This window comes from Homo sapiens, chromosome 11, assembly GCF_000001405.40.
Source record: "Homo sapiens chromosome 11, GRCh38.p14 Primary Assembly".
Taxonomy (NCBI): Eukaryota; Metazoa; Chordata; class Mammalia; order Primates; family Hominidae; genus Homo; species Homo sapiens.
Window position 1 is genome coordinate 29,348,511 of NC_000011.10, and position 13,229 is coordinate 29,361,739.

The 13,229-nt window shown below is 37.1% G+C and overlaps 1 long non-coding RNA gene across 2 annotated transcripts in view; it reads right to left on the bottom strand.

Moving 5' to 3' along the window:
• Positions 1-13,229, bottom strand: part of LINC02755 (long intergenic non-protein coding RNA 2755) — a 258,473-nt gene that overhangs the window by 12,633 nt on the left and 232,611 nt on the right. Inside the window, exon 5 of one of the 2 annotated variants that reach the window (NR_183753.1) lies at positions 1,720-1,893. The exons of the other annotated variant lie outside the window; for it this stretch is intronic. This is a non-coding gene — a long non-coding RNA (long intergenic non-protein coding RNA 2755). The remainder of the gene's footprint in view (positions 1-1,719; positions 1,894-13,229) is intronic. 2 annotated transcript variants of the gene reach the window in all.

Below are 13,229 nucleotides of genomic sequence, written 5' to 3' on the forward strand. Positions count from 1 at the left end.
CCAAAAAAAAAAAAAATCAAAAGAGAAATAGACTAAACAATTTTTATGAGGCCCGCTCAAGGAAAAGCAGTGAGCTACTTCTCTGTGAGTCTCATCGTGTAGTGCGAAGAGCAGATGTTTCAGGACTGAGTTAGTCACCCTTGATATACCTTGATCTACGTGTTAGAGGGTTAGGATGCCACTAGTCATTGGAACATCAGGAGGGAGCCCTCCAGGTGGGCAAAGGGTTTCAGCAAATATGACAGCATAAAATCATTTTAGACTATTAAATGACAGAAAATTCATTACTTATAATTAGTATTTTACTATCCAGTATTTCATCTTCTACAACTGAAACAAACTTCCATTTTAGGCATCACTGAAAGGAGAGTTCAATAATGAAAAAGAAAACAAAGAGAAATACTTTTACTAAAAACAAGATAAAGGATCTAGCCAAACAAATAACAAAAGTACAAAAGACTAATATTTTTAAAATATTAAGCCTTGTTAGGAAAGAAATACAAACTAAAAAATTAAAAAACCATGGTTAACTATTCAAATTTCTAAATATTGCAGAAAAAGGGGGAGGAGGAGAAGGAGAGGGGAAGGAATAAAAATGTTGGTACAAGTATAGGACAATAGTCATTCGCATGGATTCCTAGTTGGCATGGAAGTCAATTTGATATTATTTATCATAATTTTAAAAAATTATGTAATTTAGCCCAGCAATTCCCAAGAAATTTATGTTAAGCATATAGCTACAGGAATGTTCATGACAGCTCTCAAATAATAGTGAATGATTAGAATAAATCTAAATATCTTACTGCTGACAGATTAAATGATTTATATCATATCTATTCATGGAATCCTATGAAATCATAAACATGTAATACTTGTCTCAGTAATGCTACGTTATGAAATGGAAAATGATATTCCAATATAAACCATTTTAATATGACTATAAATATATACAAATAGAAAGAACAAATGTTATTTTGAGAGTGGTCATTATTTGGTAATACTGTTTGTATTACCAAGTAATACAAATGTTTTAGCTTGTTCATTTGTACCTTCTGAATTTCCTGCAGTTTTCTGTTAATGAGATGTTAAAAATAAAAGATAAAAAAAACAAAGAAAATGAGAAAATATTATTCAATGCAATGAGAACTAATTTTTCAGGATCTACATACAGGATAAAACTCTGGAGGAAAATACAGTGATCTCTATGGGCACGTGTAGAGGGAGAATAAATTCTAAAAAGTAAGTGGACCAGCGATGGCTAAATTCAGCTTTGTCATAACTTATTCAACAATGATTACCATGTATCTTGAGAACTATGCTGATTTTGACTACAGTAGTATAATGAATTGTACTATTAGTGGCCATTATACAAGGTCATCATAAGGGCAGAATTTGGGAGAAATTTGGCTTTTCCACTGTAAATCATCCTGAGAAGAGGTATCAATACCGGACATAAAAGAGTGATTGATTGAGAGTAACTTTGCATATAAATATTAAGTATTTTCAGGGCTATTCCAGACAGATAGCTAATTTTATGATACGGGAAAGTCTTTGTCTATAGTTTCTAAGAATAGCCGCATCTTGTAGGAATTGTAAATAACTTTCCCTATTGAATTTCCCTTCTGTTATTATTAAACCTGTAATGATATTCAACTATGGTTTGCCTTAGCTGTGTGAGGGGCATTATGACAAATATAAGATTAGGGTTATAAAGGTCACCTGAGTCAGGGAGAACAGTGTTCATTACATGGAAAGAAAGACGGCTGATGAAGTGCCAGATTCCCAGGAACGGTGATAAGCAACAGCAATGACAGATGTGTAGATCATGAAAGCATCTTCAGGGTTTTTAAACAAATTCTGTGCACTTGAACTGAAGATTTGCATTAAATTTACCTAAAATATAAATGGTGAGTTTAAAATCAAAGCAATTTGGATATTCAAAGTCTTCGTAAAGTTAATGATACCTGGAGAACTCAGACTGAGCCCTAGGTGACATGGCACAAGCATGTTCCCAAAAATACATCAATTGACTCCAACTCAAGAGACACCATTAGTTCCTGATGCATACTAATCATAGAAAGGACTTAAGATCACACTGTGGTTTCTTCAGGCTTCACCAAGATATAAATACAAATGAAGTTGCATTAATGGTAATAATTGAAATCCTGCAAGACTACTCCTTAACTACACAATGGATAACCTCCAGCATCTTTTTAAAAGTCTGCCCCAATCACTTCTAAAGGCCACCATAGGAGTTACTTACGATTCACTAACCTTTATGCCATGTTTTTACACTGTTTGTTAGAGTCAATTGATGATAGCGCCTTGATTCTGGCACTGCTGCTAGTATCTATTCTTCATTGCACTGGGGTCATTAATTTATTCCAAAAATATTTGTTAAACAACTCCTATATAATATTATCTGTTCAACTGACTGTATAAAACAGAATGTAAATAAAACAGAAATGTTCTTATTATCCTAGGGCTCACATGGCAGGAGACAGAGAATACATAGGTAGGCAAATAGACATACAATATGCCAGGTTGTGATAAATGCAGTGATGACAAATAAATCATCAGAGTAAGAAAATGCAGAGTGATGGAGGTGAGGACAAGCTTTTTAAACAGGGGAGTCATGGAAGACCTGTTTATGCAGAGACATGTTTGAAATGAGGGAGCAAGCCAGGTGGTTATCTGTGCAAAGATCATTCAAAATAGTGGTAGCAGCGAGGGCACATGGAGATTCGTGGGCCCTTTCTGTGGCTAGTGATAATGTTGAGACTGGGGAGAGGTTATGCCAAAGAGATAATTACTAGTACACCCAAAGCTATATTATCAAATATAAAATTATCAAATTACCACTAAATGGAGGCAACTCATATTTCATGCCAGAGAGGAACAATGCCCCTTCTTATACCCTATCTTGAAATTAGTCACTAGAGGCATTGAAGAAGCATGACTTTAATTCAGACCCTCAGAGTCCCCGGGGAAATAACTCCCTCTTTCAACTTCTCCTTGTAAAATCCCTCTCTTGAGAACTAATGCATGAATCCAGGAATCAGGTTAAAAGTTAGACACAGTGCTATCTTGTCCATCCCCTCCTTCCCTTCAAACTCTATAGCACATATCTACAACCCTAATCCCCTGCCATGCTATAAAAATGACTCATACAATTCATGTTTTGTTAATAATTTATCTCTCTCATGTAGCATAGTGTGGGAGTTCACAAATACCCCAAACAAAATTTGAAGAAACAAACCCATCAATACCATAGCCATGTCCAGATATATCTGAATGCCAGCATGGGCACAGATGAGGCTTGGATTCTGATTTTCCCAAAATTTTTGGAAAAATTAATCTATGGATGAGACAAAGGGAACAGGGAGCTGAAATAATACTATTTTCCTAAAGCATTTCTCACGTTCTGATGGGAAGAGATTGGCTTCCAAACCAAATAGATATAAAGTGTTTGTTTTTCTGTGTGTCTGCCCTTAGACAGGTACATTCACTCATCCATTCTTCACTTACTAGGCACTTATTGAGGACATACTGCCTTTTGAGCCCTGTGCAGGTACAAAGTATTCAGAGATGAATCAGGCTTTTAAAAAATCTCTTAAGAAACTCATTTACTAGTGGGTAAGACAGATAAAAACAAGCATGTAGTTATTCCAGTTTAGTGTCTCTAATCCTCAGTTTCATTAATCTAAAAATGAAGCACACTACCTCCTTAGCTAGATAATTACAAAGATTAAATAGTTAAAATACATCAAACACCTAGCAGAATGCTGGACTCATAATAAGCACTCAGTAAGTGTTAAAAAGCAGCACAAGGCAGAAAAAAAGAGCATTAGGTAATTCAGTGGATCTCAAACTCTAGGGAATTTCAGAATCCTTTGGAGGGCTTGCTAAACAGACTGCTGCCCACCCATCCCCCACCACCAGAGATTCAAATTCAGTAGATAGGGGGTGGTACCCAAGGATTTGCATTTCCTGCAGTTCTTAGCTGATGCTGATGCAGTTGGTCCAAGAACCACATTTGAGAATCACTGGCTTACAGAATCAGATGTACTTGCAATGTCATTCCAAAGCTCTCCTTTACAATATCTGTGGTCATGGATGAGTAACTTAAATTCTCTTAGTCTCTGACTACACATCTCACAATTGAGGATACTAATACATATATCACAGGACTGCTTTGAGAGGACTCACTAATACAGTTTGGCATACGGTATGGGAACAATAGTCGTAAATTAGCTCTCGTTTAGTCTGTTTTCATTTATCTGAGCTCTGAAATTACTACTGAAACTCCTCAGAACTTTCTAATTTTCATGAAAGTAACTTTATAAGATTATCTTTTCTGCTGGACAGAAAGCTCCTCAGGAGAAAGAATATGATTTTCTACATTCTTCATCTAATATAGTGCCTGGAATATGACAGATATTCCCACAATATATGTATATTGTCTTTATTATAACTGGATCTTTCTAAAGATACCGTATGCCTTCATTATTTTACCCTCTTGCTTGTTTTCCAAAAGAAGGAAGTTGATAAATAGAAAGTTGCAGAAATTTTGCTGTCTTTCAAGCATAACTCACATACCATTGTCTATTGATTAATCAGACAAGCTCTGTTTCTAGCATTTAAGCAGTTGTTTGAAAACAATTACATAAACTTTCTCAGATGTGATATTGACCTTTCTTCTTGTTCTCTGACCAGTGCTCATGGAAATGTTGTTTGCAATTATTTCTCCACAACCTTGATCTTGGTGTCATTCTGCTCACTACCTTTTAGTGGCCAAATTTGTGTCATCTAATACTATTGTGGTACTCAGGGTCATCGTGATAGATGTGCAACCAGTGCAGTCAAACAGGGCCCTGGGCTTAGAAAGACTCTGTGCTTGGTTTAATGCTCTGTGATTATCATCTTTAAAGTCTTAATTTTTGGTCAAGCAACCTGAATTTTTATTTTGCACTAAGCCCTGCAAATTACGTAGCTGGTCCTGCTGGCACTAAAGCTGGGATTCCAGGGAAATGCAGATGCTACATCAACAATTAAAAAAAATCTACTTCTTTCGTCTTTCGCCAACTCATTTGCAGGTTTCTCAAAAACTACATAACCTTGGGAAGATCACTTCGGTTCAATGAGTCTGAACAACCTCATCTTAAATGGATGCTTTTTTATGTACTTCTAGTTCTAAAACACTATAAATTTGTTAATTTCTAAATACAGAGTACTTTACAACTTAAATAAAAGGAACTGCTACTTTAAGGACACACATTTGCTAAATCCATCTAAATCCATTCAATGTCTTTTAAGATGAAAAGCAGATGGTGAATGTATCCTAAGATACCATTACTTCTGAATTCATATAACTATATACCTTGCATTTCCATGTAATTTCCTGGGGATAGTCAATCCAAGAAAGCTTCCTATATCTTAACCTGAAAAATGACACATCAACAGCATGCTGAGCCTCCCCATTACCGGGAATGCAGGGCCCATTAAACTGTGAGGATGCATATGCACACCTAATTATGTTTATGCCTCCTTATAAATCAGCAAAGTGAAAGCATATGCATGCTGAAAATTACCCATAATTAACTTTCCTAATTGCACCCAAATAAAGAGGGAAATAATTCACTTCAGAATATGCTTTCATCCTTTGGGCAAAGCCTACACTCATCTTGTTTAGGTTTTGAAAAATTGTCTCCTTGTTCATAAATGGAAATTAATTCTTTGTATGCCAAACCACAACAGAGTTCTTCCCTGGGTGTTGAGCCACAGAAAATGAAAAGATTCAGATATGAATGTCAGAGGACTAGAGCAGGGATCTAGGCAGCAAAAAAAGCATACAGAGGAAATTCTAGGTAAATGAAAACAATTCCTTCATTCTGATGAAGAGGGCAATGCAGATGGTGACAGGCCAACCACAGATACAATAGGAGGCAACAACCAGGGACAGATCCTCAGGGAAAAGAAGCATTAAATTTAGATGTCGGACAGAAGACTCAATTTCGCGACAGTAATTGAGATCAATTGGAGCACTTTCTGTTCTCCTTACCCACCATTTCCCTTGCAGTTTCTCTGAACAATTACTGTTCTATTACTGGCAGAATTAAGACAGGCAGAAGTTGTGCATGCCTAATTGGGCTTCCAGATATGGTTTATTGCTATCCTTAGGGACAGTAACCAGAAAGAAAAGGTTTGAAGGGAAGGATGAAACACAGGGCTTTTGATGTTCACAAAAAGATAAATCATTCTTCTCCTAACTCGGAAGTGCAGAGCTCTGAATAAGTCTGAGTATCTGACTTCTGATCACTCTCTCTGGGTGCTTTGCATTCATTGTGTCATTTAGTCCTCATATCAGCACCATTCTTGTCTTCATTCACTGTACAGATGAAAATGGGGATAAAGAAATCAAATAAGATGATCCAATAATAAGTTGATGGAGTGAAGTTTCAAACCTCAGATTGTTTCTTACCCCTAAGCCCTTGTTTTAGGCTACACTGCCATGCAATTCAAGGGAACCCAAATTCCTAAATTGAATCATTTGCATTTTGGCAAAGATGTAGATGGACTTCTATTTTCTTTTTACTATATTAACAATTTTAAAATATAGAACAAATGAATTAATGACTTTAAAATGGGTATCATATGTATCATACGACTTTACTGGCTTCTGTTGACCTATGCTAGGATGATGTTTTTATTTGAGCCTACCTACTATCTTTGAAAGCCCTCAATTTTAGTTTTCCCAAATAATAAGTCTAGCTTTCCCAAAGGAAAAGGATAGAAAATTTCCATCTAGACTCTAACAATAACACTCACTTTTGCAAAATTTTCATGAGAACTAAATAACTCAAGGAAGTCATGTGTTTGGACATTGAACCTCAGGAAAGCAGAATGGTGAATGAGACCAATTCTTTTTTTTAATTATTTAAGTTCTAGGGTACATGTGCACAACGTGCAGGTTTGTTACGTATGTATACATGTGCCATGTTGGTGTGATGCACCCATTAACTCATCATTTACCTTAGCTATATCTCCTAATGCTATCCTACCCCTTCCCCCAACCCCATGACAGGCCCCGCTGTATGATGTTCCCCTTTCTGTGTCCAACTGTTCTCATTGTTCAATTCCCACCTCTGAGTGAAAACATGCGGTGTTTGGTTTTTTTGTCCTTGTGATAGTTTGCTCAGAATGATGGTTTCCAGCTTCATCCATGTCCCTACAAAGGACATGAACTCATCCTTTTTTATGGCGGCATACTATTCCATGGTGTATATGTGCCACATTTTCTTAATCCAGTCTATCATTGATGAACATTTGGGTTGGTTCCAAGTCTTTGCTATTGTAAATAGTGCCGCAATAAACATAACAGTTTGATTTATAATCAATAAACATAGCAGCATGATTTATAATCCTTTGGGTATATACCCAGTAATGGGATGGCTGGGTCAAATGGTATTTCTAGTTCTAGATCCTTGAGGAATCACCACACTGTCTTCCACAATGGTTGAACTAGTTTACAGTCCCACCAACAGTGTAAAAGTGTTCCTATTTCTCCACATCCTCTCCAGCACCTGTTGTTTCCTAACTTTTTAATGATCGCCATTCTAACTGATGTGAGATGGTATCTCATTGTGGTTTTGATTTGCATTTCATTGATGTCCAGTGATGATGAGCATTTTTTCATGTGTCTGTGAACATAAATGTCTTCTTTTGAGAAGCGTCTGTTCATATCCTTCACCCACTTTTTGATGGGGTTCTTTGATTTTTTCTTGTAAATTTGTTTAAGTTCTTTGTAGATTCTGGATATTAGCCCTTTGCCATATGGGTAGATTGTAAAAATTTTCTCCCATTCTGTAGGTTGCCTGTTCACTCTGATGGTAGTTTCTTTTGCTGTGCAGAAGCTCTTTAGTTGAATTAGATCCCATTTGTCAATTTTGGCTTTTGTTGCCATTGCTTTTGGTGTTTTAGACATGAAGTCCTTGTCCATGCCTATGTCCTGAATGGTATTGCCTGGGTTTTCTTCTAGGGTTTTTATGGCTTTGGGTCTAACATTTAAGTCTTTAATCCATCTTAAATTAATTTTTGTATAAGGTGTAAGGAAGGGATCCAGTTTCGGCTTTCTACATAGGGCTAGCCAGTTTTCCCAGCACCATTTATTAAATAGGGAATCCTTTCCCCATTTCTTGTTTTTGTCAGGTTTGTCAAAGATCAGATGGTTGTAGATGTGTGGTATTATTTCCAAGGGCTCTGTTCTGTTCCATTGGTCTATATCTGTTTTGGTACCAGTACCATGCTGTTTTGGTTACTGTAGCCTTGAGGTATAGTTTGAAGTCAGGTAGCGTGATGCCTCCAGCTTTGTTCTTTCGGCTTAGGATTGTCTTGGTAATGTGGGCTCTTTTTTGGTTCCAAATGAACTTTAAAGTAATTTTTTCCAATTCTGTGAAGAAAGTCATTGGTAGCTTGATGGGGATGGCATTGAATCTATAAATTACCTTGGACAATATGGCCATTTTCATGATATTGATTCTTCCTATCCATGAGCATGGAATGTTCTTCCATTTGTTTGTGTCCTCTTTTGTTTCGTTGAGCAGTGGTTTGTAGTTCTCCTTGAAGAGGTCCTTCGCATCCCTTGTACGTTGGATTCCTAGGTATTTTATTCTCTTTGAAGCAATTGTGAATGGGAGTTCCCTCATGATTTGGCTCTCTGTTTGTCTGTTATTGGTGTGTAGGAATGCTTGTGATTTTTGCACATTGATTTTGTATCCTGAGACTTTGCTGAAGTTGCTTATCAGCTTAAGGAGATTTTGGGCTGAGACAATGGGGTTTTCTAAATATACAATCATGTCATCTGCAAACGGGACAATTTGACTTCCTCTTTTCTTAATAGAATACCCTTTATTTCTTTCTCCTGCCTGATTGCCCTGGCCAGAACAGCCAACACTATGTTGAATAGGAGTGGTGAGAGAGGGCATCCCTGTCTTGTGCCAGTTTTCAAAGGGAATGCTTCCAGTTTTTGCCCATTCAATATGATATTGGCTGTGGTTTTGTCATAAATAGCTCTTATTATTTTGAGATACATCCCATCAATACCTAATTTATTGAGAGTTTTTAGCATGAAGGACTGTTGAATTTTGTCAGAGGCCTTTTCTGCATCTATTGAGATAATCATGTGGTTTCTGTCTTTGGTTCTGTTTATATGCTGGATTACGTTTATTCATTTGTGTATGTTGAACCAGCCTTGCATCCCAGGGATGAAGCCCACTTGATCATGGTGGATAAGCTTTTTGATGTGCCGCTGGATTCAGTTTGCCAGTATTTTATTGAGGATTTTTGCATCGATATTCATCGGGGATATTGGTCTAAAATTCTTTTTTTATGTGTGTGTCTCTGCCAGGCTTTGGTATGCGGATGATGCTGTCCTCATGAAATGAGTTAGGGAGAATTTTCTATTCATTTTCTATTCATTGGAATAGTTTCAGAAGGAATGGTACCAGCTCCTCTTTGTACCTCTGGTAGAATTTGGCTATGAATCCGTCTGGTCCTGGACTTTTTTTAGTTGGTAAGCTATTAATCATTGCCTCAATTTCAGAGCCTGTTATTGGTTTATTCAGGGATTCAACTTCTTCCTGGTTTAGTCTTGGGAGGGTGTATGTGTCCAGGAATTTATCAATTTCTTCTAAATTTTCTAGTTTATTTGCGTTGAGGTGTTTATAGTATTCTCTGATGAGTAGTTTGTATTTCTGTGGGATCGGTGATAATATCCCAATGTGACCAATTCTTAATGGATGACAGTGTCAGTGTTTGTAGTGTCTAGTCTTTGACATCCCAGGTGGTGTGCCATGGTACCTGAAGTGGGGTTGCACATTGATTTCATCTTTAGGGCTCAGTACCTACCTCTCTTGGCTTCCGGAGATTTTATAAACTACCTAATACTCTTTAATAAATCCCTTTTCTGCTTTTAGTAGCCAGAGTGGATGCTATTTTTTGCAACTAAAAATTGTAATTTTGACACCATCTTAAATATGAACTCTCTTCCCTGGCATCCATCAACTTTCTTCAGGGAAAAAAAAAAAACACTTTGGTAACATCACCTACTGCTTGTGCATAGCAGTGTTCTTATCAGTGTGATTTGTACCAGGCATTCCCTGTACTCAGAAAGCAATCCTATTCAATTAGACACCTCACTAGGCTTACTACACTGGAAATCATAGAGCGATCAGTTTCAAGGATCATTTATTTTATATACAAGTACCTAGACTAAGCCCCTACCCATGAGTAAATATAAGGATCATCCAGCCACCAATAAAGATTGCACAAAAAGAAAAACAGGGCAAGCTCACATCAAAATCAGTCGATCCCCAAGCAGATCTCTTCTGCATTCCTGCTTGTTTCCTACATTTGAACACTGGAAATGGCTAAGTGCTAGGAAAACTAAGGGTCGTGTTTATCTTCATACCTTCATACCTCTGATTTTCACATTTTTATTACAGAATTCTATGACCCACTCCCATTACTTAAGTTAAAAACCTGTTATTTTTTATTACATCTATACCATTAGTTCCTGAATTCAATTCAGTTAATAGTATCTACTTAATATTTTTTCAAATTATTCCTATGTCCATCTACTCATGACTTATATCAGTGGCTTCCTGCTGGTTTTACTTGCTTCCAGTTTCCTTGCTGTTTTTTTTTTTCTCCATAAGTATTAGGAGGGATATTTTTCCAGAACACAAATATGATCATGCCACTCCATGCCCCAAAACTCTTTTAATCACCCACAGAATAAAATCCCAACTTGCCAGCAAATAGGACGTACATGATGTGGCAAAACCTGCCCCTCCATCCTCATCTGCAGTGCTCTTCCACCCACACTATAAAAATCAACCCTTGATAAACCACAGAAACACATGTGGCTCTCCAAACAATCTTGCTTTCCATTTCCATGCATTTATCACATTGTCCCTCTTAGCAACACATCCTGCATAGAGTGGCTCAAAAACCTCAGCTCTAAGGACCCTTCAATGTCTCTAGACTAATTTGAGTTTTTCCTCTGTGCTCCCACACTCCCAAGTGTCTTATTCATTCGTTCCACCCTCCATTATGTGGTCATGATTATCCGTTTGGGGTTCTGTCTCTTCACCTAGTTTCTACTTCCTCTTATCATTGCCTACAAGAGGAGTCAGATTTGATGCCTGTCTTGTTGGTCAGTGACTGATGCTTGACAGCTTGTGTAAATTGGATTCTCTCAGCTGACTTCCATGAATTATTGTTGCTGTTAGCATAGACATTCTTAGGGCTCATGAATTCCTCAGAGAACCTCATGTTACTCTTCAATGAATATACCCGTGTCTAGTAGTGGATGAGAAACATAATTATTTTAATGATTATTATTAATAATAATAATTATTAGCTACTATTTACAGAATGTTACTATATGGCACCAGGTCATTTAATCCCATCACAACACTATGCCAGAAGTTATATCATTGTCACCTTGTAGATGAGGAAAATGGAGTACAGAATAATTTTAAACATTGCCAAGTGTCATGAAACCTAAAGAAGGCAAAGCCTGCAAATGAACTACACTCTGTCTGATTCTAAGTTTTACGTGCATAATCATTTAACTTTGCAGACCAGAAGTGGCTCACTTATTTAATTGTAGTGAACTGCATTTGCCTTGCTTCTTTAACAGCTTTATTCACACAATTCACATATAATACAATTCACTCATTTAAATTATACAACTCAATAATATTTTCAGATGTATGCAATCATCTCCACAGCCCATTTTAGAAATTTTCCTTATCTCATAAAGAAATCCTGTACCTTTTAGCCATCACTTCCCATCCCTCTACCCAACACTCTCAGCCCTAAGCAACCACAACTTACACTCTCTCACTAGAGATTTTCAGTTCTTGATGATTTATATGAATTTATATGATGATTATATGAATGAATCATATAATATGTGTCCTTTTTGTTTCCAGCTTCTTTCAAATAGAATAATGTTTCAAGTTTCATTCCCTATTAGCATGTATAAGTACTTCATTCCTTCATGTTTGCCTTGCTTCTTTTGGCTGGTTTTCTAGTCTGTTCTTATCTGAGAACAGTAACTTCCTTATGCCAGAGCAAGAAGGGCTTCTTTCCTGGACTTTGTCCTTGAAAGGCACTTCTCTGTCCCTTCTCCACCAGTGCCCAGTTCCCTTTCCTATGGGGTAAGTCCTTAGGTCCAGGTACCTGGGGCCCAAGAATATCCTGACCAATTAGCCCAGGGTATGTGCATCTTCTCAGAGACAGTTCTCCTCAAAGTGAATCCCACCCCACAATTGGTGAGGCCACCATTTGTTGTGAAGTATGAATGGGACTTTGACATGAGGGCTGGGGTGTCCATATACATGCAGACAGGGTCCCTCACACAGTCCAGTGGAGCTGGCGGTGGGAAGAAAAGGTGAAGTGCAGTTGAATAACACAGAGAAATTTGAGAATGCCTAGCTTAAACCTGAACTTGCTACACAAAGCTATATTTGTTAAAATAAGAGAAAAAAGAAAATATTTAATAGTTTCTAGTTTATAACTAACTTTTAAATATTTAGACATATGGTATGTTGACCTCTTATTGTACTCATATAACTGACCTTGCAAAATTTTAGAAGTGGGCCTTTTAAAAGCACAAACAGATCAATGAATAGCTCCACAAACAGATCAATGAATAGCTCCACATCACATCATTCATAAGAGCAATTTTACAGTTTTCTCTCAATGTCACAGGTTTTTGAGACTGACAGGTTAGTCTTTCATCTTCTTTGGAATCTTATTTGTGTCTACCATGTGCAACGCCAATCTGTACACTGAGATCCTGCAGATGTCTTACTAGGATTACTTAGTGAAGAAACCAACTTGATGGGGTGCCATGCCTCTCACTGTCACACTCAGTGTCCATATTAGATTCCTAAATCACTTTGAGCCTCACTGCCTAAGTCTGAGAAAATGTTTATCCTTCACATAGCCATTCTTTTGGGTGTAACTCCTGCTGGCCTGCAGGAACAGCACAACCATGATGCAATTCAAGGAAAGCAATCTCCCAAATAATTAGCATACAGAAGCCCCAAAGAGACAAGTTATATTTTTCCTGTTTAATTTAGGACATAGCTAACAATAATTTTCTAAAACAGTTCCACGAGAGAAAGTAGAAATTGTTATTTATATTATGTGTCATA